Source organism: Homo sapiens, chromosome 16, assembly GCF_000001405.40.
Source record: "Homo sapiens chromosome 16, GRCh38.p14 Primary Assembly".
In the NCBI taxonomy this organism is placed as follows: Eukaryota; Metazoa; Chordata; class Mammalia; order Primates; family Hominidae; genus Homo; species Homo sapiens.
Window position 1 is genome coordinate 89,939,893 of NC_000016.10, and position 8,321 is coordinate 89,948,213.

At 49.2% G+C, this 8,321-nt stretch overlaps 2 annotated features.

Moving 5' to 3' along the window:
* Positions 4,932-4,981: an enhancer, noted in NCBI's record as "active region_11428". NCBI's record gives its function as "activates an Ori minimal core promoter by ATAC-STARR-seq in GM12878 lymphoblastoid cells {active_cell/tissue: GM12878}" and the evidence as "EXISTENCE:reporter gene assay evidence [ECO:0000049][PMID:35858748]".
* Positions 7,873-8,212: an enhancer, noted in NCBI's record as "active region_11429". NCBI's record gives its function as "activates an Ori minimal core promoter by ATAC-STARR-seq in GM12878 lymphoblastoid cells {active_cell/tissue: GM12878}" and the evidence as "EXISTENCE:reporter gene assay evidence [ECO:0000049][PMID:35858748]".

The following is an 8,321-nucleotide window of genomic DNA, read 5'->3' on the forward strand; positions in this document are numbered from 1 at the left end:
TGTGATTGCTATGTAAAATGATTGTGTGCCACAGAGATGACCAGGTTTCTTGTGGATTTCATCTTAACTGTGGCTGTCCTAAGACTTTTGTCATCCACAGATAACTGTTGTCTTGTTTCACCATTTTTTTTTTTGTTTTGAGACGAAGTTTCGCTCTGTTGCCCAGGCTGGAGTGCAGTGGCGCGATCTCGGCTCACTGCAATCTCCGTTCCCTGGGTTCAAGCGATTCTCCTGCCTCAGCCTCCTGAGTAGCTGGGGTTACAGGCATGCGCCACCACACCCAGCTAATTTTTTTGTATTTTTAGTAGAGACGGGAGTTCACCATGTTGGTCAGGCTGGTCTCAAACTCCTGACCTCGTGATCTGCCTGCCTCGGCCTCCCAAAGTGCTGGGATTGCAGGTGTGAGCCACTGTGCCTGGCCACATTACTGATTCTTTTTGTTTTGTTTTTCAGAGTCAAGAAAACCTTTTTTCTTTTGAGCTATTTACAGCTTTTAGCAGTTGAGTAAAGTACACCCCTGTGACCAAAACTTGGTGCATTTTTCTTTCTCTACCTGAGTTCTCCAGATTTTGGAAACTGTCTGTGAGTATTCTTTTTTATTTATTTATTTATTTTTAAAATTTCAGTAGGTTTTAGCTGGTGTTTGGTTACATGAATGAGTTCTTTAGTGGTGTTTTCTGAGATTTTGGTCCATCCATTACCTGAGCAGTATACACTGTATCCAATATGTAGCCTTTATCCCTAACCCTCTCCCACCCTTTCCCCTGAGTTCCCAAACTCCTTCATATCATTATTATTATTGTTATTATTATTATTGAAACAGTGTCTCCCTCTGTCACCCAGGCTGGAGTGCAGTGGCACGATCTCACCTCATTGCAACCTCCACCTCCTGAGTTCAAGCAGTTCTCCTGCCTCAGTCTCCTGGGTAGCTGGGATTACAGGCACACACCACCACACCTGGCTAATTTTTGTGTTTCTTAGTAGAGATGGAGTTTCACCTTGTTGGCCAGGCTGGTCTTGAATTCCTGATCTCAAGTGATCTGCCCGCTGGCTTCCAAAATGCTGGAATTACAGGTGTGAGCCACCATACCTGGCCTATTGGATCATTCTTAAGCCTTTGCATCCTCATAGCTTAGCTCCCATTTATGATTGAGAATATAGGATGTTTGCTTTACCATTAACGTATTCTTTTCTTCTCTTTTTTTTTTTTTTTTTTTTTTTGAGATGGAGTTTTGCTCTTGTTGCCCAGGCTGGAGTGCAATGGCGTGGTCCTGGTCCACTGCAACCTCCACCTCCCGTGTTCAAGCGATTCTCCTGCCTCAGCCTCCTAAGTAGCTGGAATTACAGGCACCTGCCACCACACCCGGCTAGTTTTTGTATTTGTATTTTTATTTAATTTAATTTATTTATTTATTTTGAGACGAGTCTCGCTCTGTCTCCCAGGCTGGAGTGCAGTGGTGCGATCTCGGCTCACTGCAAGCTCCGCCTCCCGGGTTCACGCCATTCTCCTGCCTCAGCCTCCTGAGTAGCTGGGACTACAGGCGCCCACCACCGTGCCCGGCTAATTTTCTGTATTTTTAGTAGAGACGGGGTTTCACCGTGTTAGCCAGGATGGTCTCAATCTCCTGACCTTGTGATCCGCCCGCCTCGGCCTCCCAAAGTGCTGGGATTACAGGCCTGAGCCACCCCGCCGGGCCCACACTAATACTTTCAAATTTGTCTTTTGTTTTTCTGACCTGGACTCAATGAAATTGCTACTAACTTTTTCCCGAGGCCCAGAAAGTTGAGGTTATTCTTTGTAACACAGGTGAGAACATTGTGTCAGACTGCCAGGGGCTTCCTGCTCTGTAACTAAAGATGCTTTGAGTCTAACATCTGGATAGATCGTGTCCAACAATAAACTTCGTTTTTCTTCTGTTTTCATAGAAATACCTCTTATTAAAAATCTGTTCACCTTCCTCATATACATAAGTTTAGCCCATCTGCAACCTCCTGTTATGGGAAATAGCTGTTTAACGGAACTGATCTTGTCTCAGGACCAGGAAATCACTACAAAGATATGTGACAGTGTATCTAAATTTGTTCTTTCCTGTCTATCCCAATGTGTCTTTTTTTTTTTTTTTTTTGAGACAGAGTCTTGCTGTTGTCTCCCAGGCTGAAGTGCAGCGATCTCAGCTCACTGCAACCTCCGCCTCCCGTGTTGAAGCGATTCTCCTGCCTCAGCCTCCTGAGTAGCTGGGATTACAGGCATGCTCCACCACACCCAGATAATTTTTGTATTTTTAGTAGAGATGAGGTTTCACCATGTTGGTCAGGGTGGTCTCGAACTCCTGCCCTCGTGATCCGCCCACTTCGGCCCCCCAAAGTGTGGGATTACAGGTGTGAGCCACTGCGCCCGGCCCAGAGGGATCTTTTGAAAACAAAATTATACCACTTCTCTGCTCACAATCCTTCAATGGAGAGACCGACCACACCAAGTGCTGGTGTGGACACTGAGGTACCGCCGGAGCACTCACACCTCCCAGCAGGAACATGGAAAGGCACAACCGCCATGGGAGAAAGCTTCATGCGTCCTAGGGAGTAAAAACACTGCACGTAACCCAGCCGTTCGGTTGCTAAATATTGTCCCGGAGAATGAAAGCATTATCTCCACACAGTGATGCACACGCAAATGTTTATAGTAGCTTTATTCATAATAGCAAACACTGGAAACAGCCCAGACGTTCATCAACAGGTGGATGGATAGACAGTGTGGTCATCCATGCATACTCAGGAATAAGAGGGGTAACCCACAGACATGTGCTGCCACATAGATATGTCTCAGAATAAGTATTTTTAGTGAAAAAAGCTATAGATGAAAAAGGCCTACATACGATGTGATTCCACCTGTATACAATTAGAGAAATGCACCTTATTGACAGAAAGCAGCTCGGTGGTGTCTGGGGACAGAGCTGGGTTGCAGCAGGTTGCAAAGGGCACAGGAAATATTTGAGGATAATGGATAGCTTTTTATTCTTTTTTACGAATTGTGATTTATTTATTCTTTTTCACTTTTGTGGATACATTTATGGAGTACATGAGATATTTTGATACAGGCATGCAGTGTGTAATAATCACATCTGGTTAAATGAGGTATCCATCACCTCAAACATTTAGCCTTTCTTTGTATTACGGTCCAGTTATACTTCTTTAGTTATTTAAAAATATATAATAAACTATTGTAGACTATAGTCACTCTGTTGTACTACCAACTATTAGATTTTATTCATTCTATCTAACTATATTTTTGCATTCATTAACCATCCCCACATCTCCCTCCACCTTTCCCAGCCTCGGGAAACTATCCATGAGTTTAACTCTATGCCCATGAGTTTAATTGTTTTAATTTTCTTTTTTTTTTTTTTTTTGTTTTAGATGGAGTCTTACTCTGTCGCCCAGGCTGGAGTGCAGTGGCATGATCTCGGCTCACTGCAACCTCTGTCTCCCAGGTTCAAGCAATTCTCCTGCCTCAGCCCCCTGAGTACCTGGCTAATTTTTGTATTTTTAGTAGAGACAGGGTTTCACTATGTTGGCCAAGCTGGTCTTGAACTCCTGACCTCGTGATCCCCCCGCCTTGGCCTCCCAAAATACTGGAATTACAGGCGTGAGCCACCACGCCCAGCCAATTTTTTTTTTTTTTTTTTTGAGAAGGACTCTTGCTATTTCTCCCAGGTTAGGTGGAGAGCAGTGGCGCCATCTCGGCTCACTGCAACCTCCGCCTCCCGGGTTCACGCCATTCTCCTGCCTCAGCCTCCCGTGTAGCTGGGACTACAGGTGCCCGCCACCATGCCCAGCTAATTTTTTGTATTTTTAGTAGAGATGGGGTTTCACCGTGTTAACCAGGATAGTCTCGATCCACCAGCCTCGGCCTCCCAAAGTGCTGGGATTACAGGCGTGAGCCACTGCGCCCGGCCCCGGCCAATTGTTTTAATTTTCTTTTAGCCTCCACAAATAAATGAAAACATGCAAAGTTCGTCTTTCTGTGCCTGGCTTATTTCACTTAACATAATGACTTCCAGTTCCATCCACGTTGTTGCAAATGACAGGATCTCATTCTTTTTTACGGCTGAATGGTACTCCGTTGTGTAAAGTACCACATTTTCTTTATCCATTCATCTGTTGATGGAGGATAGGGTTACTGTCTGCTTCCTTCTTGGTGCTCATCACATCTCTGCTCATGGTCATAGTTTCTCAGGTGTATACATGTGTCAAAATCTATCCAGTTCTACCCTTAAACATGTGCGGTTTATTGTATGTTGATTATATCTCAACAAAGCTGTTAAGAGACGAAGCGTGGTGGCTCATGCCTGTAATCCCAGCACGTTGGGAAGTTGAAGCTGGTGGATTGCCTGAGCTCAGGGGTTTGAGACCAGCCTGGGCACCAAGAGAAAATTCCATCTCTACTAAAAATACAAAAATAAGGGGTTGGGTGCGGTGGCTCATGCCTGTAATCCCAGCACTTTGGGAGGCCGAGGAAGGTGGATCATGAGGTCAAGAAATTGAGACCATCCTGGCCAACATGGTGAAACCCCGTCTCTACTAAAAATACAAAAATTAGCTGGGTGTGGTGGCACATGCCTGTAGTCCCAGCTACTTGGGAGGCTGAGGCAGAAGAATTGCTTGAACCCGGAAGGCGGAGGTTGCAGTGAGCCGAGATCGCACCTCTACACTCCAGCCTGGTGAAAGAGCGAGACTCCGTCCCCCACCTGTCCCCACAAAAAAATTAGGAAGGTGTGGTGGCGTGTGTGTGTAGCCCCGGCTACTAGGGAGGCTGAGGCAGGAGGATCCCTTGAGTCCAAGAGGTTGAGGCTGCAGTGAGCCGAGATTGTGCCACTGCACTCCAGCCTGGGCGACAGAGTGAGACCCTGTTTAAAAAAAAAAAAATGCTGAAAGAAATTTCCAATGGCTTCCATCTTACCACAAATCAAAGCCAATGTGTTTACCATTAGCTCATAGCCTCCCGTCTCTGGTCCTCTCCCCTCACTTTACCTCATACTAAACTCCAGCCACATGGACCTGCTTCCAGTTCCTCATTCATAGGAGGCTCTTTCGGTTCCTCAAGGACCTTGCACTCATGGTTTCTACCTGGATGCCCCTCCCACTCTTCAGTGGTTCTCTCCTTCTGACCCCTGAGTCTTGGCTCAAGCATCTTCCTCCCCTGATCTCAGTCACCGTCTCGTCAAACTGTTTATTTCCTTGTGCTCATCACATCTCTGATTAGTTTGCATCTTTGCTTGTCTGGTTCCTTGAGTGATGGGACCTTGTCTGTTTTCTCACCACAGTGTCCTAGTGCTTTGAGCAGAGCATGGCATATAGTTGGTGCTCAATAAATTTGTTTGTGGTGGCTCATGCCTGAAATCCTAGAATTTTGGGAGGCTGAGGTGGGCAGATCACTTGAGCTCAGGAGTTGGAGACCAGCCTGGGCAACATGGCAAGACCCTGTCTCTATAAAAAATACAAAAATTAGCTGGGCATGGTGGTGCATGCCTGTGGTCCCAGGTACTTGGCCTGAGGCGGGAGGATCATTTGAGCCCAGGAGATGGAGGCCAGTCTGGGCAACCCCATCTGAAAGAAAAGAAAACAAAATAGTAAATGTTCTAAACCAGTATATAAATTATCTGTAACTGCAGATTCTCCCAGGACTCTGGGAGGCTAAGCCTGGGTGATCACTTGAACCCAGCCATTCGGGGCTGCAGGGAGCTGTGCTCATGCCGCTGTGCTTTAGCCAGACTGAGATCTTGTCTCTTAATAAAAAATAAGAATAAAATGGGGCCGGGCGTGGTAGCTCACGCCTGCAATCCCAGCACTCTGTGAGGCTGAGGTGGGTGGATCACTTGAGTCCAGGATTCCAAGACCACCCTGGGCAATGTGGCAAATGTCTCTACAAAAAACACAAACAAAATTAGCCAGGTGGCGGCGCTTGCCTGTGATCCTGGCTACTCAGGAGGCTGAACTGGTAGAACCACTTGAGCCTGGGAGGTGGAGGTTGCAGTGAGGTGAGACTGAGCCGCTGCACTCCAGCGTGGGTGACAGAGTGAGACCCTGTCCCAAAATAAATAAAAATTTAAAAATTAAAAAAATGTGTTGTTGAATGTCTACAGAGGAATAGAGATGGTCATGACACACTCTATGTTTATTTACTTATTTATTTATTTTTAGAGACAGGGTCTTGCTCTGTCACCCAAGCTGGAGTGCAGCGGGTCACTGCAGCCTCAAATTCCTGGGCTCAAGCAATCCTCCCACCTCGGCCTCTCAAGGTGCTGGGATTCCAGCCATGAGCCACCGCGCCTGGCCAACACATTCTGATTAAGAAAGTAGACCTTAAACTGCGTGTAGAGTGTGGGTTTATCTTTGTCTCTCCTTGGAGGAGGGTTCCCATTGCTTCTGTAGACACTGGTTCAGATCCACAACCGGTTCTAACATGCATTTGGGCAGTGGGCCACCTGCTGGGAGGAACCTCCTTCCTCTCAGGGCCAGCCTCAACCGGGGACCCATTCCTTTCTCAGTCCATGCAAGGAAGCACCCTCTGTGTCCAGGCACTGGCCATTAAGCAGCAAAGAAGGCCAACAAAATGCTGCCTACGGCTCTTTGCTTCTGGTGGTTGGGGCTGGGGGGCAGAAATAATAAAGAAAAATGTGCAAAACCGAAGACATCAGACAGTGACGAGTGATTAGGGAGAAGGTGAGTGAGTGAGGGGAAGGGCCCTGCCTCCCAGAGATCACTGAGGACTGCTGAGCAGAGGCAAGGAGGAGGTGTTGGGGTTACTGGGGAGGACTGCTCCACAGAGGCTCAGCCAGGCAGGGGCCCCGGTGGGGGTGGGCCTGGCTTGTTGGGGAGACGAGCCAGGAGGTGAAGGTGGGGGTGGGGGTGGGCCTGGCCTGTTGGGGAGAGGAGCCAGGAGGTGAAGGTGGGGGCCGACTTCTTCCCAGGGTCCCTCTCACTGCCAGGCTGAGGATGTACTGTGGGGCCCAGGTGGGAGCTGAGATGGGGAAGGCCTTTCCAGAAGGAGGAGCTGGGAGAGAGGCCAGGTGGACGTGGAATCTCTAGGACTGGGGACCTTGAAGCAGCAGATAGAGCGGCGGCTCAGGGCAGTCTCCCTCCAGGTCTGAGTGCATGGAGGGACACGGCGTCCGAAGCCACCCTAAGCTGGGGTGGAATCTCACTGCACCCTTTCTGAGCGATGTGGCCTTGGGGGGGCCGATGGAGTTGCCTGTCCTGTAGGTGACTGCTGGCCCCCAGGCTTCCGTAGGGTTAAATGAGATGGTGTTGGCAACACGCCCCCCAAAACCTGGCCATAAACTGGTCCCAAAACTGGCCATAAACAAAATCTCTGCAGCACTGTGACATGTTCATGACGGCCATGACGCCCACGCTGGAAGGTCGTGGGTTTACCAGAATGAGGGCAAGGAACACCTGGCCCACCCAGGGCGGAAAACTGCTTAAAGGCATTCTTAAGCCACAAACAATAGCGTGAGCGATCTGTGCCTTAAGGACATGCTCCTGCTGCAGGTAACTAGCCAGACCCATCCCTTTATCTTGGCCCATCCCTTCGTTTCCCATAAGGGATACTTTTAGTTAGTCTAATATCTACAGAAACAATGCTTATCACTGGTTTGCCGTTAATAAATACGTGGGTAAGTCTCTGTTCGAGGCTGTCAGCTCTGAAGGCTGTGAGACCCCTGATTTCCCACTCCACACCTCTCTATCTCTGTGTGTGTGTGTCTTTAGTTCCTCTAGCGCTGCCGGGTTAGGGTCTCCCCGACCGAGCTGGTCTCTGCAAGGTGGTGTGTGGCTCCCACTTGGGAGGCCTCCAGTTACTGGCACTGTCATCACCATGCCCACTGAACAAAGTGGACCAAGCCCCAGAGGCAGCCAAAACCACACCTTTCTGCAGGGAGGGTAAACTGAGCCCGCGAGCTCAGGGCAAGCGCACCAGGCGCATATGCTGGCCTTCATCTGTCCTCAGCTCCTCCCTGCGGGCACAAGCGGGGGCAGCTGAATCTTCCACGCGAGAAGCCTAAGAGTAGGGATACGGGGGCGGGGAGCAGCAGGCCTGCTCTGTGTGTAAACAACGGGAAAGCAGGAATAACGCCAGGGCCCGCGGACACCAGCTGCCTCCGAAGTCCCGCTGCCCGGCGCCTGCATGGAGCAGCCTCCTGAGCGCAGTGTGGCGCGTCCTCCTGTGTAAAGAGGGTAGAGCCGCGCCGGGTCCCTCCCTCTGCAGCCGTGAAGCCCCCGCGGGGCCCTGCAGGTGGCTGGCGGCACCTGCACACGGTGGTTCT